We start from the raw sequence: 27,785 nt of genomic DNA, 5'->3' as shown, positions 1-27,785 counted from the left end.
ATCGCCATGGTGAGCGGCCCATTTTGAATTAGGAGGACTGGCTAAGGTGCTCACTTAAGCTCTTTGTAGTTTTGTTCAGTCAATTGAGTGTTTCTATGTTACATCTATCTGTCTATATGTCTGTCTATCTATCTATCTATCTATCTATCTATCTATCTATCTATCTATCTATCATCTGTCTATCTATCTACATACCTACCTACCTACCTATGTACTGAGCCCAGGCTGGAGCAGTGGTGCAATCAGAGCTTACCGTCCCCTTGACCTCCCAGACTCAAGTGATCCTCTCACCTCAGCCTCCTAAGTAGCTGGGACCACAGGTGTGCACCACCATACCTGGCTAATTTTTTTTCTATTTTATTTTCTGTAGAGACTGAGTCTTGCTGTGCTGCTTAGGCTGCTTTCAAACTCCTGGGCTCAAGCGATCCTCCTGCCTCAGCCCCGCAAAGTGCCGGGATTACAGGCATGAGCCATTGCGCCCGGCCTTCTCTTTTTAACGTAATATTGAGATTGGGGTCAGACTGTGCTGGTTGTGGGTAAAGCTATTGCAGCCTTCCAGCTATGAAGGCCTGCCCTCCACGATGGGATGGCCAGGCTGGTACCTGAGACTAGTGTTGGAGGCAGTGGCAGCTTCCCTTTGATCTATTGCAGAATGCATTTTCAAACACACACACACACACACACACAAATAAAACTCTGATGTTCACTTTTTAATTGAAAGCTAAAAATGCCCAGCTCCTTTCTGCAGATTGACAAGCTGATATTTCAGCAGTAGCTAAAGAACCCGGTTTAGTAAGCTACTGAATTTTGACGTTTATAAACATTTAATGAATACATTTTTATTTATGTCAGCTTAAAAAATACAGCTGCTGATATCTGCGCCCCCCAACAACTTTTTTTGTCTTAATGCCAAAATTAGAATATTTAAATATTTTAAAATTTCCTGATGAGCACCTGTGCAGGTGTGAGGGCAGCATGAATTCACAGGGAGAGTGTATGAAGTTGGTTATCTTGATGTGCTTGTGGGGAATGTGTATTTCCTTGCAAGGACTGTCATGTGCTACCTGATCCTCTTTCATGGACCTCAGCCACTTTCGCCTCTAACTTGAAAAGGAAACTGGCATTGTGGCACAGGGGCCAAAGGGACACATTTGTAGCCTTGTCCTCAAATCAAGTGGGACTTCTGGTTCTTTCTCTGACCATCTGCTTGACCTTCAGTCTGGTGTCTCCAAGGAGTGTGTCTCTATGGCAGTTTAAAAAATTCTGTTACACTGAGAAAGAGACAAAATGTAAATCTTAAAGGAATCAGTAGATTTTTAACCCCACTGCTGGTGTTGAGAAGACAGTTTGAGTCTTAATCTCTTTCCTTAAGTTTCAAAACATGTAGGATTTATGTTATTGACATGTCAAACTTTTTGTACTTATTCATTAGGGAAGGTTTCAATACACACAAAAATAGAGTATTATAAGATGCGCTACTATGTATTCATTATCCAGTTTCAACAGACGTCACCATTTTCCCAGTCTTTTGTTATATAGTATCCCCTTCACTTTATGTTCCTGAAATATTTTAAGGCAAAGCCTTGACAGCATATTATTTCACCTATAAATATTTCAGAAGCATCTCTAACAAATAAGCCCCCTCCTTTGTTTTACATAGCCATGGTGCCATATCACAGCTAGCAAGACTATTAGGAATTCTTAATAGCATTAAGAACTGACGTTCCTCAGTTGTCTCACAAATGCCTTTTTACAGCTGGCATGTTTGAATCAGAATCCAAACCAGGTTCACACGTTGCATTTGATTATCATGACTTTGAAGTCTTCTTAAAATCTACAACATGGCCAGTCTCCCTCTTTTTAAATATTTAAACTGGGTCCATTTTCCTGTAGAAAGCCCACATTATGGATTTGGCTTATTGCTTCTTTGTGGTGTCATACACCATGTTCATCTGTTCTCCATACTTCCTGTAAGCTGATACTTGCATTTAGGGCAAGCTTGTCTAACCCATGGCCCACAGGACACATGCGGCCCAACACAAATTTGAAAACTTTCTTAAAACACTGTGTTTTTTGTTTTTTTGTTTTTTTTAAGAAGACCAAGTTTGTTTGCAGTGTATGAATGTCTAGGTGAGGCTGGGTTAATGGGGAGAATGAGACTAACATAACATCTATAACTCTCATGACTTTTTGTTATTGTTGTTGTTTGTTTTGTTTTTGGAGACAGAGCCTCCCTCTGTCACCCAGGCTGGAGTGCAGTGGCGCAATCTCAGCTCACTGCAACCTCCGCCTCCTGGGTTCAAGTGATTCTCCTGTCTCAGCCTCCCAAGTAGCTGGGATTACAGGCACGTGCCACCATGCTAATTTTTGTATTTTTAGTAGAGTCGGGGTTTCTCCATGTTGGCCAGGCTGGTCTCGAATTCCTGACCTCAGGTGACCCACCCGCCTTGGCCTCCCACAGTGCTGGGATTACAGGCATGAGCCACCGCGCCCGGCTGAAAACACTATGAGGTTTTTTCATGGGTAATCTTGGATATGTTATTTGCTTCATTCAAGAAGTAGTATGTGGCCATTCATTTCTCAAGATGCTTAGATTGTTCAGTGAGTTCATGTGCTGCCCACCAGATCTCCCTAATACAGAGTTTTACATTGTCTTTCACCTGTTTGTTTTAGGATCTATTGATGATTATTTCATTGGAGGTTGCAAAATAGCCATAAGTAAATTGGTTTAATGAAGCTTCTTCTCCCTACTAAATCTTATCTAGAGTTTAACTATCTATTAATCATTCATTTTTGCACATTTTTACAGCTTTTGTGGGGTATTTTACATTCTTTCTTCTGTTTGAATATAGAGGGTGCCTTGCAAACTTCACTCATTTCACTAGAAGAGGCAACTGTTTAAATCCTACTCTTCTAATATATTTCCTGGTTCATGTTTTCCTGCACATTCATAAATGAGGAGGACGTTGATTTGTCAGTTATCTTCAGTGCTTAGAATAGTTGCTGAAATGTGACAAGAATGTTTATGGAAGAAATTACCTTATAGGTTGTACATGTCCTCTAAAGACATCATAGGCACTCCTACATTGCATTGGTGAAGGGGCCACCAAACAGCAGAATCCTGCAACTTGGTTGAACTATGAAAATGTTCTTGATACATTATAATTTCCTCAACCCCTTTAGCCAGTATTGGCCATTCAGGCAAAGGAATAGAATTTCCAAGACTTGTACTGTATGTTTGCAGAAGGAGGGAGGATGGCAGATAGGTTTGTGTGTGTTGGGATGGAGAAAGTATGCAAATAAGCTAATTAATATCAATTGTTTTTATATCTATATTACACATACACACACTCGCATACACATAAGCACACATAATTAATCACACCCATGAGCACATGTACACAGCTGGTCTACACCAGATTGCCCTGACAATTTTAGAGCTGTGTGCTGAAAAATTTTAGAGGAATTTGGCTTTGAATGTGCAACACGTATTACAGAGCAAAGATCACCTTGGGTCCTAAGGGAGATGACTTTCATCTCTACCATGTGAGTAAAACCTGGGTGATTGAACCATAAATTATTTTGGGTATATAGAACTTTCTTCAAATAACACTTAAAATTAAATGTCCAGGTAAGTGATTTTCAAATCAGAACAACCAAAATTGTTAATAGTTATGATCATGCTTATATACGTATGGAAATGTATATGTATATGGAAATATGGAAATTTGTGTATAAGCATGCTCTGCAGTAAATCAAAAAATGACCATGGAGCAAACATATGAAAATGCTCACCAGCAATGAAAAAAATGACCCTATGGCAAACAATAAAGTAAAATGCTACACTGTCTTCCTGTAGAGGACCTACTAGGTTTGGACAAACTGGCTGTGCTCAAATACATGTGCCAAAATTGAGCAGGCTGGGTGCAAATATTCTAAGGGAATTGAAAGACACTTTTTCGTGAAATAGGTTTAGGTGTTGACATTATCTCTAAAAGTAATTAAAAGATGATTGATGTAGTAAATTTTCTTTTAAGCCATGCCTTTAAGCACATTGTAGGAAAAGGACTGTTAAACACCACATTTTCTTATTTAGAACCCTTGGGGCCATAGGTATTTCACAATTTAAGAATCATTTGCATTTTATGAAGTTAATATGGTGTATATAACATGTCCTGTGTAACTCTCCAGTGAAGTCTGAAACAGCCGCAATGTATATATAGATTATTATTTCTATAGCAAAACATATGAATAGATACACCTAGTAAGACAAAAACAAAAATTATAGATACGTAGATATTCTCACATTAGTTCAGGTTTTGTCACAAAGTACAGCTTTCAAACCTTCTGGAATTTTTCAATTGAGGGAAAGATTGTGAACCTTCAAATGAACAAATAAATAAATATCTACCTTTTCTGAAGAAAAACAAAAGCCAAATAACAAATAAATCAAGAATCACTTTTCATGGTTTTTAAACCCCTCAAATAAATGTCTTCCTTCTTTCAGTTCATAGAAGATTTAGAATTATAAAATAAAGAAGGCCTATCCACATGGTCTATATATGTCTTATATATCTATATCTATATCTATATCTATATCTATATCTATATCTATATCTATATCTATATCTATAAACAATTTTAGAATTAGCTCGTCCCACACAAAAATAGTTTTTTTGTTGTTGTTGTTTTTTGTTTTGCTTTTTTTGGGATGGAGTTTTGCTCTTGTTGTCCAGGCTGGAGTGCAATGGCACTATCTCAGCTCAGTGCAACCTCTGCCTTCCGAGTTCAAGCGATTCTCCTGCCTCACCCTCCTCAGTAGCTGGAATAACAGGCGTGCATCATTAATTTTTTTATATTTTTAGTAGAGATGGGGTTTCACTATGTTGGCCAGGCTGGTCTTGAACTCCTGACCTCAGGTGGTCCACTCACCTTGGCCTCCCAAAGTGCTGGGATCATAGGCATGAGCCACTGTGCCCAGCCAAAACTTTAGATTTTTATCCTGTTTGTGCCTCAAAGCCTATTCAGTTGAAAGGCTGATGGGCTCGCTCTGAGGTCCATTGTTGGCTGGGGGAGAGCATTAGGGAGCTGACTTTTGGCAGATGAGGAAAACAGCATGATCACTGCTTTTGCCACTCTGCTTTGTGGAATTGACCCACTCTGAAGTTGTTCTCACTCGACAGCAATGCAGGCATTTATCCAGTGCTTCTACAAGAAATAATTTGGGCAAAAGCAGTAAGGAAGTAAGCCTTAACAGAAAAGTGGGACCCAGCAATAGGAGAATCTACACATCTGCTAAGCCCAGCCATCATATATATATGTGTGTGTGTGTGTATATATATATATATATACACACACATATATATACACACACACACACACATATATATACACACACACACACACACATATATATATATATATATATATATATATATATATATTTTGGAGATGGAGTCTCACACTGTTGCCTAGGCTGAAGTGCAGTGGCATGATCTCGGCTCACTGCAACCTCCACCTCCCGAGTTCAAGCAATTCTCCTCCCTCAGCCTCTTGAGTAGGTGGCACTACAGGTGCATGCCACCACACCGTTAATTTTTTGTATTTTTAGTAGAGACAGAGTTTCACCGTATTAGGATGGTCTCGATCTCCTGACCTTGTGATCTGCCTGCCTCAGTTCCCAAAGTGCTGGGATTAGAGGCATGAGCCACCATGCCCAGCCCTTATATATTTTTAATGTGCATTAGTAAATTATAAATAATGACAGTCTCCATGTGGAAAATGAAAATCAACTTAGCTTATACATTTTTAAAAATCAGTCAAGTGGTCTTGTCTCATATACATAGACCTTGAAAGATTTGTTTTCAGTACATTCTGTAGAAGGCTCTTGAATATCTGATAGACTCCCCTGGCAGCTTTCACCTGGTGTGTGCATGCACAGATATAATCACCTTAGTCTTTATCCTGCAGTAAACAAAGTTCAAGAGAGATTTCTGAAATGAAGATAATCTTCATTCTGCCTTTTGCCGCTACCTAAAGTTCCCTTGGAGGACTCTGTGAAGTTACTCAGGTTATATTTTTTATAACAAATATAAACCACAGAATTTGCCAGAATGAGAAATATTCTGATGAACATCATGATTTGACTGAGGATGGAGGAATTGTAGGGAATGGTTAAACTTGAAGATACTTTTTAGAAAAACAGGTCATGTGCTACAGAAGCTACTTTTAAAAACATGCTTTTTCATTAAATGTAAATTTACCACATTATTTTATATATCTTCATTAATTTAATAAAACTCCTGCTAGGCTTTTGTAAATTTTCACAGATATAATGTTACCATAGGCATCTATGCACATGTATTTTTGTACACTTGTCCAATATTATCCATAGAGTTAAAATTTTTAACTTGAAACTTCTAAGTCAGAAGGCATATGCTTTTAATATTCTGCAGTACATTTTAACTTGCCTTCCAGAAAGTTTATACCAGATTACATTCCCATTAGCTATATATGAAAGTGAACTTCCTCACTGGCAGTTGAAAATTTGTCTTATTTTAATTTGCCAGATAGCTTGTCATATATTTATTGCCAAATTTCAAATTCATTCCTTTTATAAAGGAATGGTTCATGTTCTTCCCCAGTCTATTTAGTTTTATTCTTATTACAATGTAAGAGCTTTTCATTTATTAGGAGTATCTTCTCATTAAATATTTGTTAAGAAAGATTTTTGTTCAACTTTGTATGGTTTGGATAATGTTTTCATTTATTTTTATTTATTTATTTATTTATTTAGAGACAGAGTGTCGCTCTGTTTCCCAGGCTGGAGTGCAGTGGCAAGATCTTGGTTCACTGCAAACTTCGCCTCCCAGGTTCAGGCGATTCTTCTGCCTCAGCCTCTCTAATAGCTGGGATTACAGGTGTGCACTACCACGCCTGGTTAATTTTTGTATTTTTAGTAGAGACATGGGGTTTCGCCGTGTTGGCCAGGATGGTCTTCAACTCCTAACCTCAAATGATCCACCTGCCTCGGCCTCCCAAAGTGCTGAGATTACAGGCATGAGCTACTACGCCCAGCTGGGTAATGTTTTGAAAAACGAGTATGTAGTCTGGGTCCCAATATGTTCTAATTTTTCTAGCTCTAATGTCATAGCTAACAAAGGCCATCTCTACTTAATTGCTTGTACTTTATTCTCAGGCTTTTATGTTTTAACCTTTGCATTTAAACATATTTTAGTATGAAGTGTGAAGCAAAAACGTAAATTTTTCCCCTTAAATGCTAAACAAACTTTAGTTACCATTTATTGAATAATTTATCATTTTCTCATTGATTTTTTTTTCAATGACAGCCTCGCCATAAATCTTTCTGTAATATTTCCTGATCTGGCAGCAGCCGCACATTGCTTTAATTTACTTTGTTTAAAATGTATATATTCTCAACTTACATCTTTGTAAAAATTTTCTTAACTATTATCATGCATTAATATTCCAGATAAGCTTTAGAATTTGTGTCTTCTCTACCCTATCCATTTTTCTCTCTTTGGAATTTGTTTGAATTTGCATTAAAGTCTCCTTTAATTTTGAGTCATCCAATCACATTTATGCAAATACTTTCCTGGGAAATATTTGTGTGAAAAGATTTTCTTTTAAAAATTGATATACAAGATTATTTCGGTCTTTTAGAAGTGTTTATACTGCTGAATCCTTTCATGATTTTTGTTAAACTGGCTTGTGAACTAGTTCAGCAAGTCAGTGTCGTATGCTGAATATCTAAATATATTTATAATGAGAAATATAAGAAAACATAATAAGAATATTTCTGTCTTACATCCGTGGAGAGAAAATAGAATATTTATAAATGCAAATGCTCTACAATTACTCTAAGGAAACTTAAAGATCACAGTCCTATTCTAACTCTGTAAAGTTATTTGCTTGTTTGTTATTTTAACAGCATCTTTCTCATAAGCATTTAAGGCTGGTTATAATGTTTTGTGTGTGAATATTGAGTAAACCAAATGATTGGAGGCCCGTTATTTTTACAAAGATTTTATGGAATAAGCAAGTTCGGAATGGATTTCGAAAAAGAGACAGTCCCTGTTTCAGTGTGGAAGGGACATTGGAGTCCAAAGGTCAGGGTCAGATACATGTTTTCTTCTTTTTTTTTTTCCTTCCTTCCTTCCTTCCTTCCTTCCTTCCTTCCTTCCTTCTTTCCTTCCTTCCTTCCTTCCTTCCTTCCTTCCTTCCTTCCTTCCTTCCTTCCTCTTTTTTTTTTGTTTTTGTTTTTGGAGACAAAGTCTCATTCTGTTGCCCAGGCTGGAGTGCAGTGGTGCGATCATAACTCACCGCAGCCTCCAACTCCTGAACTCTTGGGCTCAAGTGATTCTCCCACCTTGGCCTCTGAAAATGCTGGGATTACAGGCATGAGCCATTACACCTGGCCATTTTCTTTTGACTAGAGCTGAAGTTCTGAAACTAGCAGTCATTGGAGATAAGACAGGAGAAGACAGTTGGGAGGCTCCAAGCATGTGATTTCAGGAAAAGCATGAGTTGATTATTGAGAATTTCAGATGTGAGATTTCCAGGAACAGTGTGAGTCCAGAAGATGTAAGAAAGATCAGTGGAATTCACACAGTTTGGTTATTCATGCATCTTCGAATATTTTTCAGATAATCTCGGGTGGATACTTCAGTTATTTCTGCCTCAGCCCACCTTATTTGTAAAGCAGTATTAGTAGAATCCCCTCCTTGAGGGGTTCTTCATATTAAATAAGTTGCATAGCCAACAGCCTGAGGCATACCAAACACTGTATAGATATTTGCTGTTATTTGTATGATTGCTGCCTTTTACTGAGTGGCATCCTGGGCTGGTGCTTGGGACTCAACAGTGAGGACATTCCCTCCCACATCTGCCTGTAATGCCAAGGCCTTGTGATAGGGAGTGGCCTGAAGCCCGGGGTAGAGGAGTGGACCTCCCCAGCATAGCTGGGGAAGGAGTCTCAAGGAGATGACATTTGACCAGTCCTCATGGTTGTTTGCAAGTGGCTTCTCTGCTGTGGAATGGGAAGAAAGGGTCTTCCAGGAAGAGGGGTTAGCCTTTGTAAAAGTGCAGAGAAACGTTTGTATGAGCAAGAGAGTAATTAGGGAACCGTGAGCAATTCCATGTGACTCTGACTATAGGTAGGCTGCAGGGAAGGGAAGAGACAGATGAGGACTGTCTTCCTAGTGCCTAGAACAGTGGCTGGCCCATAGTAGGTATTCGGTGCATCTTAGTGGAGAAATGTGTGAAAGAGGAAAGAGAGGGCTGGGAGGTAGACTACTACTAGATTGGCTATGGGTGGAGCTGGGGGCTCAGCATTTTCAAGCTCTGAAGTTTGGTCTCCTTGAAGGAACAGGAGCAGCTCTGGATTTTAGAAGGCCAATTCTGTCCACAGTGCACCAGTGTTCTAGGTGAGGTTGGATGATGGGGAGAGGGAAGTCTGAAGATAGCATCCATAAATCTCATGACATTTCTATCCCAGCAGTGCAATCAAATGTTGAGAATATGTCCTGTAGCTTTCTTTTAGAAAAGGGGTTAGCAGGCCAGGTGTGGTGGCTCAGGCCTGTAATCCCAGCACTTTGGGAGGCCAGCGCGGGTGGATCACGAGGTCAAGAGATTGAAATCATCATGGCCAACATGGTGAAACCCTATCTCAACTAAAAATACAAAAATTAGCTGGGCATGGTGGCATGCACCTGTAGCCCAGCTACTCGGGAGGCTGAGGCAGGAGAGTCGCTTGAACCTGGGAGTTGGAGGTTGCAGTGAGCCAAGATTGCGCCACTGCACTCCAGCCTGGTGGCAGAGTGAGACTTCTCTCAAAAAAAAAAAAAAAAGGGTGGGGGGCGGGCAAATTATGGCTTAAGGCCAAATCCAACCAACAGCTTCTTTTTATAAATAAAATTTTACTGGAACACTGTCTGACCTGTTTATTTACATATTATGTATGGTTGATTTAGCGTAACAATGGCAGAGTTGGGTGTTTTCAACAGAGACCACATGGCCAGCAATGACTAAAATATTTTCTATCTGGTCCTTCAAGAAAAATGTTTGGTGACCTCAGTGTTAGAAGATTGTTTTTAGGTATTTAATGGTGCCATTCTGGAAAAGTTGGCATTGTTGGAAGAGTTCAAATTGATGCATGTGTAGCCTAAGAAAAATGGGGCCATATCACTTCCTATGAAGAAACACACCAAAATTTTAATTCAATTCTTAAGTTGTTGTCTTGATTATCTAAGTTCTGTCTCTAGTCTCCTATGGCTATTTTTGTGGCTTTGACCCTAGCTGACCCAGCCTATTGTCAGTAGTTAAGAAGGTAGATTCCAAGTGCTCAATGTCATGTTAAGACTTCCTTGCTACCTACTAAGGGAAGTCATTTTTTTAGCCAGCTGTTTTAAGTTCTCCTAACCTATTTCATATGCTATGTTCCCACAATAACCATTCCCTTCTCTTGCCATTTCTTTGTCCTCTCTCCTGCAATGTTTCTTCTACTGAAAGAATACGGCACTACTGAATCTGTTTCTCCTGGGCAGGGCTTGCATTATCCCACCTGTTCCAAATTCTTTTTAGAACCGGGCCCTTTGGGTGAATGATGAACCATTTAATAGCCCCATGTACTATAGAAATTTAACCATTTTCAACCAAACCTGTCATAGATAAGAACAAAGGTAAGCCATCATGTGTCTAGAAAAACATACAACTGATTTCCTCACAGACATTACAAGTTCTTACTCTTCAAATGTACTTTAAAGGACTGAGAGTGTAATTAGGAATCAGCAGAAGTTTTGTGGAAAAGAGGCATTGAGCCTTTTGCATATTAAGGATCAAATTTTATGTTTTGTATGAAGCATTCATGAGGTGATGTTCTTAAAAACCACTCCAGAGGCACAGGAGGAACGCTGAGGACAAGACTGAATATAGAGATGGAGGAATTACGTGTCTACTGGGTAGAGATGGAGAAGGCATATTTATACTAGGGATGGTTGAAATCATGCAAGCATCTTCCATAGCTAATAAATTATTTTATCCAGTTGGCCTTTACTGAGGGCATACTGTGTACCGGGGCCCACCCTGTTGGATGCCAGGAATACAAAGATGATCAGAGTTCACTTTCTGCGCTTGAGGATCCCACAGATTAGAAAGGAGGAAAAAGAGTTACTTTCCATACAAGGCTATAAATGTTACAACAGTTGAATTTTTCAGATGAAGTGGAAGGAAACGTCTAGAAGGAAGAGGACTGAAATGAAAGAAGACTGGGGGAAAAGAAATAATAATAAACAAAAAGAAAAATAATTTGAAACTTTTTAGAGAAGATGATTGACCCCATTGTGGAGATCAAGATTAAAGATGAATGGCAGGCAGCTGTGGAGAGCAGAGGTGGAGATATTGGGAGGATCAGACTAAAGAACTGAAATTTCAGTTGTCCAAGCGGGCATGCTGTTCTACAGCCTCACATGTCTTGGGCCTATTAGAAATATATATAATCTATCTATGCATGACTTATATACCATACATCACATCATTTCTTCCAAACTTACATTATAATATAACACATTCTGTATTAGTATATAGTAAGATTTTAAAATGTACAACATATTTAAATATACTCCTTACAATTAAGCCTCAGTAAGTGCTAGGAACTTTGCTAAGCACTTTGTATTATCTAACTGAATTCTTACCATGGGTAGGCACTCTTATACAACATTTCCCAGGCAAGGAGTTTTGCCCACCAAGGTTAGACAGATTGTCCAGGATTATCCAGGGGGTAAGTGGCACTCACACCAGGGCTTGTCTGACCCTACTTAATTAGATGGGCTCCTATGAAGTAAATTTTAGGATAAGCTCTTGACTTAAAAATGAGCCTTCTAATGGTTGTGGGAGAGGGAGAAAAAACAAGTTTACAGAAGATAGCGGGTGAGTGTGGAGCAGAGAACTAGCATAGGCTTTGAAGTCAAGCCTAACTGAATTCCCAGCTTGGCTCCACTGCTTGCCAGCCACATGGCATTGGTCAGGTCACATAACCACTCTGAATGTCCCCATCTGTACATTGGGGTTTGTAGCATCTGCCTTGTTAGCATGTAAAGGATCTGCACCTGTGCCTGGCACTTAGCAGACACTGTGACTTGTAGCTGCTGCTGCTCCTGCTATACCTACCGTCCTTGCCACTCTTCTTATATTCACATCCACCCATCCTCCTCCTCATACTACTATTACTACCTATGCTAATACTATGGTGGTTATGATGAGCAGCAGTAGTAGTTGGAATGCCTCAAAGATAAGATTTATGCTAAAAAACAGAAGCACAGTAGTTATTTAAGACCTCGATTTGATCAATAGCATTAGTTCTGCATTTACTTCAATATTTAGTGAGCATGTGCCATGGCAGGTCTCTGCGCCAGGCACTGTAGAAAGTTAAAACATGAAGAAGTCATTTCCTCTTTTAGCTGCCATATCCTCTAGTTTGACCTTTACGCCATATACTCTTGGTCAGATATTCAAGAAAGAATCTTGGGAGGGAAAGAGTTAGTGCTCATCGAGTGCAGACTGGCTTGAAGCTGTGCATAGCTTTGGAAGGAATGTCAGGACTTAAATAATTTCAGGATGAGTTGAAGATTACATTGAGCATTTACTACTTCTCCAGATAATCTCAATTTCCGCCCATCATGTGATGGAGGTGTCACCTTATTTACAGGTTCAGATTGTTAGCGGGACACTTTGTTATAGTGATATCTTACAGAGTTGGCCATTAGGCTATAATTGAGCCTTTATGTGGGGTGCTGGGTAGGCCACATGACCCTGGTTCCTGTTTCCAGGGAGGCCAACCTACATAAAAATGGCTGTCATATATCGTTGCTCAGAGGGGCAGATATTTACAACAACCTTGAAATGGAACTTCCACCCAATATGATGAAGACTGACTTGTGACAGTTTGATATGCCTTTATTTTGCTAAAATAGCAACCTGGCCAAATATATTTTTCAGCACATTTATTATAGCTACTTGTTTATATTTATAGCAAAAGTGTTGCTAATTCCCTAGTATGTTAACAGGTCATATTCAAATTGTTCTATTTTTACTTTGGCACAAAATTGCTGAAGGAAACATTTTTAAGGCAAGTAGTGATTATAGCATATCAACTCACTACATAGTGAATTATATATTAAATGAACTTCCTGAACTGAGAAGGAGCTTAAACTGACAAAGAAGATAGTTTTCTTAAATTCTGTATTGTTTACATAAGATTTCTTCAAATCCATTTTTTATTATAGGTTACTGATTGTCTCAATGTTTTCTTTTTGCTAAATTTCTACCTTCCCGCCAACAAATATAATCCCCCTTTTAATATATAATAGATGACCTGGGATTCCAGAATGGATTTTCAGAAACCATCAAAAAACCTCCTCGCTTTAGTGTATACAATAAATAATATATTCTTTTTTAAAAATATGAGAGTCAAATAGGTATATGCGTAAACCTGGCCAACCCTTGGGCAGTTGTAATTTCCATACCAAAATGCATGAGTCTTTACTTGACTGTTACTCTGTTATACATTAAGTACTAGTTACCATGGCAACCTTTGCATCACATTATGACATTTAAATATAAGGTGGTGTGTTTCCTTATAAGGAAAGACAATGTATTTGAATTTTTGAGTGTTTGGTGAAATACAATCACTACTAAAATAAATAATTTTGTTTAAGGCAATTGATTTCTTTGGGAATTACGTACATTTCCAACCAAACCTATGGAGTGCATTCATTTATTTTTATTTTTTTGTGATGTCATGGAGAAGTAAAAGATTTTTTTTAAAACAACGCTTGATAAGTATAACATAATAATTCATTAAATGCCTATAATTACCCTCGTAAGTGGCAAAACACAAAATTGAACCATATTTGAGGTTATTTATCAGTGACCAATACTGTAGCAAGAGTTCGAATGTAACATCACAAGATTTATGAAATTCTATCGCATATAACACATTTCTTATTTTTGTATATCTAGTTGGTTAACTGTAACTAGTTTTGATCTTACCTATAGTTGAATTAACAGTAGCAGTTTGCTCATGCGTGCAAAAGCAAAATTAAAGGAGCCACTGAACTCATCCTTGTGGCATTTCCAGGAACATGGCCACTTAAATTTAATTATGAAGATTGTTGGGCAATTTCTTTATTAAATATGGAAAAAACCTAGTCATTTCTTGTTGCCAGTGTAGCTCTAGGCCATAAGGCTATCATCTTTGTTATGTAGACTCCCATATATAACTCATTTTTAACTTTTTATAGTAACTTTTCCAAATTATTATCACAGCTTGTACTTTTTAATCTGAAAATAGAGAATCTAATGATCACTCATAACTTTTGGTGCATCTTTTCAATAATAATCAGTGGATTGTAATATGGGACTGTTTTGTGTGGGACATAAGAAAGAGGTAAGCTCTGTGCTGGACCCTGGCTCTGCGGAACATTTTACATATGTTGTTTCATCTATTCCTGATAACCCTATGATAGAGCTCTTATTAGTCCCTTTTTACACGGGAAGAAAGTATGGTTTAGAGCAGTTGCATAACTCACCCCCAAATACATTGTCTGTATTTCTTTGAGCTAAGGTTCAACCAGATTGGTCTGACCTTAAAGCCCTCCCTCTTTCCTTAATAGATTTGACTTCTACTTCTGACTTGTTACAGACACAATGTGCATGATATGTTTAATGTAGAAATAAAAAACACTGACAAAAAACCTTTAAAAATGTTTGCTAAATAATAATTTCAGTAATTTGTATTTCTCTGCAGCACAGCAGTTTTTTAAGTCCCTGATTTGCAAGATATCTTGGTCTTTGTAAGTTACCCAAGTCCTCTTTTGTTGAAACCAAGCATAGGACAGAAATAAAAATAAATTATAAAGGTGTACTCTTGGACCTTCAGGAATCAGGAAAGAAGACTGTCCAAAGACTGACCTTCAATTTTGAGCTTTGAAGTTCAAAAGTGGACAGGTGGAAATACTGTGTTCTTCATTGCCCTTTGGTGCGAGATATATTCTAGGTTGCAGAGTAAGTGCCAACAGCAGCAAAATTATCGCCCCCCTCCTGCTACTGTAGTAAGTCAGCAATGGCCCTTCTGTGGTCAGAATGGCACATTCAGCAGCAACTATTCGACAGGGATTTACAGAAACTTCCCCATGGCTGTTAGGAATCTTATTCAGCAGTGTCTTTGAAAACCCGATTCTGTGCAGAATTAGCTATGTAGAAATGACCTAGGTTGTGATAAAAGGTATTTTAAACAAATCTAACTTGTAATTTCACTCAATGTGTATTTTGCATTTAATGCCACAAAGTCTGGTAGATACCTACACATATATTTTGCATTCATAAGTTTTATAGTGGTTCAGAATTTTTTTCCATATTAACATTTTAAAAAATCCTGGCTTTATAGAGTCAGTTCACCATACAAAGCCACTATACATCACTTAGGTTTGTGATGAAAGAATGGAATTGCAGCTGTGTGAGTACTAGAATACCCAAACATGAATTAGACTCACAAGCATTTGGCAATAGTTCAGAAAAAGAGCTTAATCTGGTTTCATCTGAGACTGCTTTTCTCTGTTCTGCAACATCCCCCCAAGATGTTGTGTCTGATACCGGATCACAACGTAATGGGAGTGACGCAGAATCGAGAAAGCCCTGAGAAACCAGGGGCACATTTGCTTTTCTCCAGAGATTTTCTTTCTCCTACTTCTTTTTTCCCCTCTTCCAGTTTCCAACTCTGAAATTCAAGGTCATTCACCTATTAGATGCATTAATTATAAGCCAAAAAAGCAGTATTCATCGTACTCTGATCTCAGTCATATCTATAATTAAGTGTAAATATAATCTTCCTTTTTAGAAATGTACCACCCACCCATTACATTTAAAGTGCTGACTGAAATGAAATAATAGTTCAGAGCAAGATGATTTTAGTTTAACTAGAAAAAAGTTGATAATTTAAGCTTCAAGCAGTGAGTTCTATTTTTGATTACCATTCAGTTATAAATCTAATTTGAGATATATGCTGCTTTTCTGTTACTCAAGTTTAATTCATGGTTTGCTTTCTTGGTTGTATAAGCAAAGTTCAGTGGTTGATCAAGGCTGTTAAGAAGCTCCCCTGAAAAGGAATGGGGGCAGGGTTGAGAATGTGTTCGAAAGACATTCTGAGACCTATATCTGATGTAAAACAAACAAATCCGATGTAAAACAAACAACAAAATTTTAATTGAAAAAGACACTCACAGAGTGCTGTATTTGGGGATTTGAATGGCCAAGTTAGGAATGGCCATTTGCAGGGGAATTGGCTGCAGAGGGTGAACCCCAAAACATTCCAACCTGGTTGATAAAGTCAGTGTGTTTTATTCTTTGGTTACAGTATTTTAGGTCTTTTGGGAAAAAAAATTAGGAGCGAGTAAGGGGAAGGGCTTGTCTCATCACACTGTGGACAGTTAAGCAAAATGCTAAACTATGGGTTTAAGATTTACAGGTTAGCTCTGCCAGATGCCACATCTGCCTCCAGTGTTTCCTGGCAGATTCGGGCAGCCTACTACTGGGACCCAGCATAACCGCAGAACATGAGCTTGCACAATGTGAAAAACCTAAAACCATTATAATCCTATTTAAGGCCAGGATGAATTTGCCCATTTTGAAAGTAGATGTAGTTTTCAAGCTTAACTTTTATTAAGCAGAAACTTGTCTTCAGAGCTATATCTATATATGCAGGTAAATTCATAATATAAACAAATACCTTATCCATTTTGTGCAAAATTTAATTTACTTTAAATCAAACGCCATTCACTTTTTAAAATTCATAAACTCAGGTTTTTCAGCCAGTGGAAAATTTATCTTTCTCATTGCTACAGAGAGTTAAGTATCTGACGTAAAGGCCAGACAATAGTAAATGGTCATTGTTCGCTTTATAAGTATACTCTACAATAAGAACACATATATTTTTATCTTCATTTTCCCTAAGGAGGTGTTTAGGGCCCCCTTAAATGTGAGGAAATGTTTATTTTTGTTGCTTTAGAAGAATGATTCTATTGTCCAAGTGAGAAAGAAATAGGAACAAACAGGTCTAAGGAGAAAGAAACAGGAATGTGCTTTGTGAAAAAAATAAAGATTAACAGGAACCACTAAAGGTTTGTAAGTGCTATCTGGTCCTAGTGCTATGTTACTGCACATAGTCCTTGCGCCTGCATATGTAAGAGTTGGATGCGTGATTTATTATGACTGGCCCATGAAATTATTTTCTTTTAAGTTAACAACAATAAGGTCAACCACAGCCTGTAGCTGTTTTGTAGTTATTTTATATTTTTCACAGCTCTATTGTGAATGCTGCTAAAAGACAGTATAGCAAGTGTGTGTTTTTAGGTTGACCCCTTGAATGCATTTAATTTCTTGAGAGTGAAAACCTTTGCCACCAGGACCAAGAGGAATTAACCAATGGTTAAACTCATTTAAAAACACAAGCAAGCATTTCAACATATTTGCTTAGCCGTTTTCTGAATATTTAATATACTTCTAGAGAAAGAAAAATGAAGAAATAGGGGTGATTTGTGTCTAGAATACAAAGTTATTTTCAAACTCCTCTTTCCAATGAAATGAAGACTCATTCGTAGATTTACCAAACTGTAAGGAGGTTGTGATTTCAAATCATTCACAGCTTTATTGATGGAAATTTCAAAGAAAACTTGGACACAGACTTCACTGTAACTTTCTTTGTTAATAAGAAATGCGAAGAGTGAAATTTAGGTTGAGATTCAAAAACTTTTGAATGCCACTCCTAAATGATAAATTATTTGTTACTAGATTTCTGATTTATGCAAAACTTTATTATAATAAGCCTTATGTTTTAGTTTGTCATTGTGTAGTGTTTTAATATGTCTCATAAGTTCAAAAGAGGCAATAGTTGAGCATGCAGATGTCAGATTTTTATCTGATAAATCTGGTTTTATCAGGTATTTATGTGGTAAACATTAAGATACTAGCAATGAGTTTATTACTCAAAATGTGCTTTCAATCTGAAATCTCATCCTTGAAGTTGTATTTTGAAGTAATGTTTATTACATATCTCTTGAAAAAGTCTTAAACTGGAATCAGTAAAGGCGAGCTTGTCAGTAGCTGATTAGTCCTTTATATATGACTCATCCAACACTCAGAAAAACCCCTTGGAATAGAGAGGTTCTCTTTATGATATTTAGCTATATGGCGGTGGAAAGGGGAGGTTTGAATTTTTGATTTTCCAGCTTATGGGTCATATTTGACCAACTGCTTTCACTAGAAGACATGCCACTTTGTTGAGCTATTTAGGAATCAAAAAGACTGTCTTAATTTAAAACAAGGACCCTTTGTTTTAGTTGGTGACTGCCTTGTGAAATTTTTCAGTTCTCAGCGGGTTAACCAGGGAACAGGGGCAGAGTCATAATTGGCCTATTTAGAGTATTTTGCATGTGAATAGTGTGTTAGTGAAGCATCCCTAAGTCTGTTGTGAGTGACATGGTGATTAGAATTTAGATTAGGGAAAACACATTCTGTACTTTATCAAGGACAGTAATTAGTTCAGTCAGTAAAAGTTGATTACAAGTAACGATAAAGTTAGATTTTTAGTACTTAATTTTAAAATTTCTTTATTAAATAGTAAATTTGTTCTTAATATAAATGGTACTATCTACTCTTGTTTTATTGCATATCAGAATAATTAAAAGAACAATGTGTTCAATGCAGAGTATAATCAAGCGATTTATATATTATGGGTAAGTTTCTATGTAGTTTTTAGAAAATGTAATATTATATAATCTTTCTGATGTCATCATTTTTAGAAGTTTAATAATTGTCACACTGTGATAGGTTATTGTGGAAGTTTTCTAGTGTTCAGGTAAATGTTTAATCTGTGGGATGTGTCTTAGCTTCCGATAGACCTCAAGAGGGCATTCTGAAGTCCTTTGTGGCTGTTAGCTTGGAATATCTGCTATTTCTGTAATTTTGAGAGTTAGTGTGAGGATTTGAATTTCCTCTTGGTTCAGTTGGCATTTTCTCTTCTGTGGGTGCTATGTCAGTTCGTGGAGAATCATGATATGCGGTACAGAGAGGCAGGGTTCTCAGTCGAGTTCATAGGCTACACTTACCCCCAGTGTATGCAGCCAGGGGAAGTTGTGTGCGTTCACAAAATGAGGTTCTTCTTGTTAAGGAAGGGGATGAATAGTTCCCAGATATGAGCCTCAGTCTAGAGAAAGGAAACATTAGTCTTATATAAATGCCATTTGTTTTGTGAAATGAAAACGTGAGTCATCTTAAAAGACTTAAAAAAATATTGTTTAAAGGGAATCATCTACTTTCCTCCTAAAAGTAAAGAATTAAAAATTCACAAACTTTGTGATAGCTTCTTAGACTGCCTTTCTTTTGGGTTTTTGTTTTGTTTTAATTGTCTCAGCTTAGCAGATGCTGTTTGCTTTATTGCATTGGTTTAAGTACTAACAATCAGTTGGGAGGTGGTGAAAGTAAAAAATTAACCTTATATGTTTGTTTTCCCTTTTTAACCTTTTAGCAGAGTCTCCTTGGAGGTGACATGGATATGGGCAACCCAGGAACCCTTTCGCCCACCAAACCTGGTTCCCAGTACTATCAGTATTCTAGCAATAATCCCCGAAGGAGGCCTCTTCACAGTAGTGCCATGGGTAAGGTATTCCTTTGTTTGAATGCCTGAGGGATGATTATGCCTTTTTCTTTTTTTCTTTCTTTCTTTAAAATATCGCCCCCCCATCCTACCTCCCACCCCAAGAAAACCATAAAATTTGGCTCAGTTGTCAGCCTGGAGACTTCCCCCCTAGTACACTGAGTAGGTACGTTAACAGCTTATGGTAGCAGAACTTTTTTGGTGTCTGCTTATGTCTAGTTTTCTCTTAGCTGCACCCATAAGGAAGCTATTAAAAGATCAAAGTAGCAAAAAGTTAAATATCTTCATTTTTATGAACAAAGCAGAATTTGATTTCTGCTAGAATCGAATGTGATCGTGGTAACTACAGTTTGCTAAGGTAATGATTTAAGGAAATGTGGTATCATCTAGAAGTCTTTGTGGTTTAACCTATCTTAGTTAGGAAAATGGGCATTTGGGAGCTGAAAGCATCTTCATTTTCTTTCAGAGGTACAGACAAAGAAAGTTCGAAAAGTTCCTCCAGGTTTGCCATCTTCAGTAAGTACTGCTTGTTTCTGCTTTGTATATTGCTTATTTTGTTCTGTTTTGTATTGATGGGAAGGAGATAGAAGTAAATGAGTTTCCATGCGCCCAGAGCAGCACGTTTATCTAGAAGGTGGATGAGGTAGAAATGACCTGCACATCCAGCCACCTGACCCACATTGGAGTGATTAATTGCACATCCTGGAAGACTGGGTGGTTATGTTGATATTCAGCAGGTTAAGCTCTAAAGAGAGCCTTGAAAAGGTGCCTGAAGTTTGAGGAGTTTTACCTGTACAGGGCTTGCAAGAGAATGAGTATTAGTTTCATGTGTTGGTTAAATTCTTTGTCAGTATTATGATGATTTATGGATTTGCATGCGAAAGGAGATTTGTGGAGAGGATTTAGGAAAAATTTACATGGGTTTCAGCCCAGAGTGCAGGAAGAATGTCTCTATTTTCTGGAGAGGTTGCTGAATAAAGGCTGCAAAGGTAGCTGCATCAGTAGCCATTTGTGTCTTTACTACCAGGTGACAACTAGAAGTAGTCAGCTGTAACCAAGAGCATTCTGGGTCTTTTTAACAGCTGGAGCTCTATGCAGAAGTTGCTGATATCCCCCACCCACCCCCAGGTCCCTAGTACAGCAAAAGTTGGTTGTGATCACAACTCAATACATGATATCATATTTTGAATTCTTACGTTCCTAGATAATTGTATTTAATTTTATTTAGGACTAGTCCATTTCTAGTAATTTTCTCCTCATATAAAATGAAAACATAGTTTCCTCTCTTCTTTCTTTGTTTCTTTATCCTTCCTCCTTTTTTTCATTCTTCCTTGCTGTGATATAAAGTTTTGATTTAATTCTGTAGAGTACTAGTATTCTTTGAAAAGAATGCTGAGACTTATTGTTTTTATACTTTAATATAAAATCATATTTAGATTTCTTAAAGTATATTACCAATCAATGCTTGCATATTAGTTTCATTTCATTTTTAATGTATTAGAAGAATAATAGGTCTTGCAAATGTGCTAAGATTAGATTAACCCAAACACCTGTGTATTTGACTTGATTTCAGTTCAGCTCATCCAAACAATTATTAAATGAATATATCAGAATAAGTCTTATCAGGAAAAAGAGTAAATTTTGTATGCTGATTATCATAGAGTTGGTGATGTTGAAGAAGCATCACAAAATTATTCATAAATATAGAAAAATATTGTGTAAATAAGATTGCCAATGGTGTATAGTCACTTTCAACTAGCAATAAGTCACTTAAAATTGTACTCAGTTGTTTATTGTTTGAATTTCTGTGTTGTATTGAAATTGACTAATATGCCCAAAGGATTTTATAAGCATATTTTAAGCTTGAAGTTAGGGGTGGATTTAATGTTGATGAAACTTTAGCTTTTAATAGGTTTTATGACAACTTCAAATGATACAGTCCTAACAGCTGTTTACATTTTAAACATGCCTGAACTTAATATGGACAATATTAAATGCATTTGGTGGACCTTTGAATGTTCTGAAACAATGGAATAACTGTCCTATAAAAGCCATAAAAAACTTAAAGCTATCATACCCTCCTTATGCTTCATATTCAAATTAACTTGTTTTATCCAATGCTAAGATTAGGCAGAAATCTAGACAATTTCTAAGGAGTGCATTGGTGTGGCATTGGATGGTATGTATCTGCTTAATCACTGTCAACAACAATTTTCATAATTCGTTGTAAATGTTTAAGTATTTCCCTATAGCTAACTGGCCCCTTTAGAAAATTTTACTGGTACAGTGTTTTCTTTGCTGTTAAGACAATTTAGGTGTTGCTGCTATGTCGTGATACATTCAGAAATATAAAAATAATTTTCCTTTCTTTCCCAATAAACAAAACTTGGGAATTAGGAATTTAGTTTTATTCTATTTAATTTTCTGTTTTTAGTGGTCAGTTTAGGATTTACTCTTCTTAGAAGATTTATCTTGACTAAATGTTTTCATGGTCCTTATGAAACATTTTGATGAATAGCCTTTTTTCTGAAATATAAGGAGGAAGAAAATACAATTCAAAATGAAATTTTTATTGCAATTTTTTGAGCAAGAAGAACAAGTTTAGGTAATTTTATAATTTAATCATCCATTTACTCATTACCTAAAAAAATCCCAGCTCTATTTTCATAGCAATTTAACTTAGTTTATGTAAGCTTTGTTGTAAATATCAATTGCTTATTACTTACAACAAGATCCACATGGCTTACCACCACACAAAATATTTATTTTAACTTGATTCCAAAAAAGGTCTGCAGTAGACATGGTCACACTTTTCTAGTAGCAGATCTGTATTTCTATATTTTTAGACCTCTGCCATGCTTTTTTTAAAGCTCAAATAAAATTATGACTATTTGATAAGAGATACTTCTTAAATTGTTTCAGTATGTATGAGTATTTGTATAACAGATACTAAAAGATTGGAGATAATAAAAGGTTTCCTTTGGAGTGATTATGACTACATAAGACACTTATATGTTTTCTTTGATACATATTTACCATGACAAATAGTAATAAATCTGTCACAATCTGTTGTGGCAACTCACTTTACCCCCCATTTTGAAGTGGGCCCTCTCTTTCCCTTATAATAAAAGGAAGAAAACTTAAACGGTGACACTGCATCATCAGGTATTATTTGTGACACGCCTGTGGTACAGAGACTGGACTTCTGCCGCCATTAGGCTGGGTCTTCCTCCCAGGCAATCAGGAGAGAGAGGGGATTGCCTAGCCCTGTTTTGAAAACACTGCAGCATCTGTGGGAGAGAGAAAACGTAGGCCTGGCCAGACATCATGCCATGGATCTGGCAGGATCCACGAATGTGTGTTTGTACTGTGTGCTGCACCTAGAGACCTCACGTCACTGTGGAAGTATGACACGATGGTGGGATAACAGAAGACCCACCAGGCAGGGTCTACAGGACAAGCACAGCGTGTCGGGGGGAAGCCTGTCCCTCTAGTGCACATAGACCAGTACTTGCTAAGGTGATTTTTTTTTTAAAGGAAAGCCTGTGTGAAAGACAGCTATCTAATTGCCCACGAGAGCTCTGCTTATTACTGCAGTACATTTTTATCTTCTCGGTTCGTATTTTAGTATGTTGCTCTTTTTAGTCACGTCCCAATTTCTCGTAGCCCTCGTTTTTTGCGAAGACCTTAGTAATAAAGTGTTGTCTTTTGTTGATGTCAGAATTTATTTTGCATGTCTAAGCTCTTGAATCTACATGAGAACATCTTGTTTTGCTAGATTTCTACATTTTGGTTTTCCATTTCAAACCATATTTCATCTTAAACTCAATATTTTGCAACTTTACTGCTCATTTCAACAAATTTGTTTTATATAACCTAATAATCATACACATTGAATCATGAATTCATACACAGAAAAATGTACTATAGTAAATTAAAGTTGGAAAAAAATGATTTATGATTCTTAACAGAAATTAACATGAAAGTACTAAAATCTAGAAAGTAGCAAAAAATTTTATATTGTGCTGTTTTAAGATACTTTCATCAAACACAGAAACAAAGCAAAGGCATTATCTTTTGGAAACTTTATTCTGCCCATCAACATGTAAACATGTAAAACTTTTATCTTAGAATTTGAAATATTTCAAAATTATATACGTTTTATCAGAAACTGTTAACAACTACAAACTTTCTACTTCAGACTTTGGTGGAATTTGTCTCCACTTGTAATCCGATTTGCATCTTTAATGATGGTCTCACCATGACCCCAGTTGGAATCTCTTGAACATCAGATTTTTCTGGAAATAGGATATTTTATCCTTAGAAATAGTTTATGACCTCTCATCTCCAGTGATCTTTCCTAAAGCTGTACTTCTCAGTAAAGTCTTTTTTCTACGTTAAAGTACAGAGGGGTTTTGTGTGTCTGTTTTGTTTTAAAACTCAGGAGGACCTGGCAAACTTTAAGTGGTCAGAGATAATTTGGGACACATGGATCCCAAGATAAACAATTTCTACTACTATAAAGATTCTAAAATAAGGTTTGGACGCTTCAAGAATATTTGTGACATTAGTTAATCAGTAGGTAGGTTTGAAAAATAAAAACAATGTGTATTAGATATTAGGTTCACCAATTTTCATAAGGAAAGAATTCTTAAATAAAATGAAATATTTAAGTATGGATTAGAGTTTCCTTTACAGAAGCAATTATTAGGGGTATCAAGAAAAATGAGTAATGCTAATGGCCTTAAATGTCCTATGTATTTTGTGTTATATAAAAACTTTCCTATTTGAAGATTTCAAACATGATGTTGAATCCATATCTTGAGCTATTTAGGGAAAACCCCTTTTATCCCAGGTGCTTGAAGAAATCACAAACAATTTAAAAGAGATATTGGTAAACTGTTTTTTCCTTATTAGTGGGCTGGAAATTATGTATGATTTAAAAAATCAGTACTGAACTCAGAAATATATAATTTCCTACATCACTTTTGAAATTGATCATAGGGAAATCAGAACGATGCTTTTTCATGTCAACAAATTTTAACAAGTAATAATACAATTTTCTTTAAGATGAAAGTTTTATTGAAATATGATATCGATCACAAGTGAACGAAATATCAGCCATCTGGGCTCTATCCTTTTTAGGAAAGTCTGGAAGTAGCCGATTGTGTGGTAAGACGTAAAAGGAGGAAACTCTTCAAGGTTCATCCCTGCAGGGATAGATACTTTGTGAAGAAGTATAATTGTTAAGTGTTTAAAATATTAAGATAGCTCTCAGTATTCACTTTTAAACTTAGTGTGCCCATTTTCTAATTAAAGATATTGGAATATGAGGTTTGGATATTAAAATTGTGCTTATTAATGTTTAGGCAAGAAGGAGGTTAAGAGTGGCACAATTAAGTCATCTCAAATAGGACAAAACTATTCACACAATTTACACGGCATATATAACATGACAATGGGGAACAGTGAAAGCTGAGAAAATATTCATGACAGAGAAAGTATTTTTGTGTGTGTGCAGTTAATGCTGAATTTGCTAAACCAGACTTCTAGTTCAGCATGTGCGTTTTTTTTTTTTTGTGAAAACCAATCTTATCTTCTCTATTACACATTGAGACTATAGAGTTTATGATTTTTATGAATTGCTGATATATGAAAAAATATAGGAGAATCTTTATATTTGTTTTGATTGGAGGCTTTTGTTCCATTAAAAATTTTTCAGAAAGCACACAAGAGGCTTGCACATACTCAACATACATACTATTAGGCATTCTAATATCCCAGAAGTTTGCTCAAGGATTTCTGAATTTTTGTTTGGAATTTTGGAATAATGAGCTCCTTCATCCACTATCCTCCTCTTCTCTGCCTTGAAGCCCAATCCTGCACCCTTTAAGAAAGAAGGCTTCTGGTGTGCATATTTTAGATAGAAAGAGAGAAGAAATATAAAGGAAAAGACAAGCATGAAGGTTAACTGTGGATGAAAGGTTTGTGTATTTTTGAGCTATTCCTGCTTTATCTTTACAAACAAAAAGGTTGTATGCCCCAAACACTCAAACAAAACACCACCAGTTCATTCCTTCCCCCAGAAAGAAGCCTTCCTGGCCAGCAGCACCCCATTTTTCTACTCAGTGATCTCTTCTAAGGAGTGGTGCCTGATGTATCTTCCTACTCTCCAATGTGTTTTTATTTTTAATCAAGTATTCAAAATAGTATTTTGCATGCTAAGATTTATCAGGACTTTCGTTAAGATGTTAGCAGCTGCTAACATAAACAATAATAGCATTTAGTGTAAAACTGGACTTGTTGAGAAAAGAGAAATACATTTCTGGGAACTGCTATTTTGAACTTTATCATTTTCACTGAAGAGTATATTTTGGTGTGAAGTTTTGGACTCGAGAGTGGTTTAAATTACTGAGAAGTGTAGGAAACCACTGCAGGGCTGCTTTACCCAGAGAGAATTATAACAGGGCTTGCATGTATTTTGAAAATAAAACCTTTTTCTATGGCATCCAGCTTAACTGTGAATTTATATTTACGAAATAATGTAGATAAATGCCTTGATAATTTGATTGAATACCATTTTTTAACTTTTAAAATTTAATTGATTGAAATAGTTTTATTTGCTAACATAGCAAAATGTTCTCCTTTTTTCCAGATCACTGACAATTTCTGCATTTTCTATGTTTTCTTGGTTTTGAATAATTCTAAAGGTTTTCATTGAAAGTAATGAATCAGGAATTGGAGGGCTAAATAAGATTCTCTTAGAAGATGTGGCAGTAATCCTAAAAGAATAAGGAGTCTCTTCAAGAATTGTCAAAGTTGTATTTTCTTAAGGCAGAATCCATACTTGTCAGGCTGTTGACAGACACTTGCTTTGTCTTGGCTTTTGTTTGATTTTTTACATAACTGCACTGGATTATTAAACTGAACATAAAATTGCACCTCAAAGCAATAGCACAGGATTTTCAGCCTTGATCAATTTCTACTATCCCCGGATGTGTGTGTGCACGCGTGTGTGTGTGCACCCATGTGTATGAGTGTGCTTCTTTTAAAGGAATAGGAGCTTTTATACAATGTGGTGCAAAACTTATAGTTTTAAATACTTAATTATTTTATCTGGAAACAGCAGCATGTGAGTGATTCTTTTTTAAGTTGCAGCTGCTGCATAGGTGTAGAGCTATTTGAGGAGTTTGATGCTTTACTTGAGCATATACTCCCTCTTCAGAGAAGTTAAGGTAGTGCAGAAGTTTCTGCATTTTGTAAAATTTCAGGGTTGAAAATAAAGATGCTTTATGATTTGGTGAGATGGATAGATTTCACTTCTGAAAGAATGTGCAAGTTGTATTTTGAAAGGAACATTTTAAGAATTCTACTTAAGTGGTTTAGTGACACCCACTCTTGTCTCTTGTCTGACTTTGTCATCTGAGGAATTAATCATAAATAAGCCACTAGGGATGAAACTTGATATATAAGTGCTTACTTCCAGAGTAATAAGAAGAGGAACTGTGTGTGTGTTAAATTTCACTAAATTTATTTTGATTATTCCGTAGAGCAGGAAATAGGAACATTTCGTAGTGAAGCTCTCTTCATAGCAAACTGTAAAGAAAATTTCTCAGTGTGTTGCCATATGTTGGCAGTGATTAAAGGGCATTTCCTTTGTGAAACATGGAGCCATATTAGAAAGACTTATATTTTCTCATAAAAATGACCTTTGCAAGTACATTTAATCATGAAAACTGGTGTCATTCGTCACATACACATACAAAAAGTGTCACTGTTACCATTAGGGATTTTAGGAAAATGCTACTTTGGAACAATTATTTTGATGGCATCTGAGAAAGAATACCTAAGTGTCTACAGGAGCCTCCTCCCTCCATGGCCCATATCATTCTAAATATGCCTCCTGAATTACGCTTATAATAATATTGTAATGTCTTTCATTCTACCGATTGGCACAGTATATCATTATATCATTAGCTGCTATGAGAAAGCAGTTTCAAGTAGGTGGCAGATTCTTAGCATTAATGTTTTCAAGTAACCCTGTTTGGAGAATTGGGTT

General features: G+C 36.6%; 1 protein-coding gene across 40 annotated transcripts in view, besides 3 other annotated features; it reads left to right on the top strand.

The window, feature by feature from the left end:
- Positions 1-27,785, top strand: part of TCF4 (transcription factor 4) — a 413,773-nt gene that overhangs the window by 265,357 nt on the left and 120,631 nt on the right. For 28 of the 40 annotated variants that reach the window (NM_001243226.3, NM_001369577.1, NM_001369582.1 and 25 more), the window contains 2 exons: positions 19,598-19,727; positions 20,193-20,242. In NM_001243226.3, coding sequence (NP_001230155.2) covers positions 19,598-19,727; positions 20,193-20,242 — 180 coding nt within the window. The remainder of the gene's footprint in view (positions 1-19,597; positions 19,728-20,192; positions 20,243-27,785) is intronic. The other 12 variants (NM_001369584.1, NM_001369576.1, NM_001369569.1 and 9 more) reach the window with 1 other exon arrangement.
- Positions 17,788-19,154: an enhancer, noted in NCBI's record as "VISTA enhancer hs1537". NCBI's record gives its function as "enhancer in: forebrain[5/6]" and the evidence as "EXISTENCE:transgenic organism evidence [ECO:0001131][PMID:17130149]".
- Positions 18,062-18,901: an enhancer, noted in NCBI's record as "OCT4-NANOG hESC enhancer chr18:53018931-53019770 (GRCh37/hg19 assembly coordinates)". NCBI's record gives its function as "activates a minimal SCP1, AML or CMV promoter by ChIP-STARR-seq in naive H9 embryonic stem cells {active_cell/tissue: H9 hESC(naive)}" and the evidence as "EXISTENCE:reporter gene assay evidence [ECO:0000049][PMID:30033119]".
- Positions 19,533-20,228: an enhancer, noted in NCBI's record as "NANOG-H3K4me1 hESC enhancer chr18:53017604-53018299 (GRCh37/hg19 assembly coordinates)". NCBI's record gives its function as "activates a minimal SCP1, AML or CMV promoter by ChIP-STARR-seq in primed H9 embryonic stem cells {active_cell/tissue: H9 hESC(primed)}" and the evidence as "EXISTENCE:reporter gene assay evidence [ECO:0000049][PMID:30033119]".

This window comes from Homo sapiens, chromosome 18, assembly GCF_000001405.40.
Source record: "Homo sapiens chromosome 18, GRCh38.p14 Primary Assembly".
NCBI lineage: Eukaryota > Metazoa > Chordata > Mammalia > Primates > Hominidae > Homo > Homo sapiens.
The sequence above is the reverse complement of the archived record's forward strand: the minus strand, read 5'-3'. Positions and strand labels throughout refer to the sequence as shown.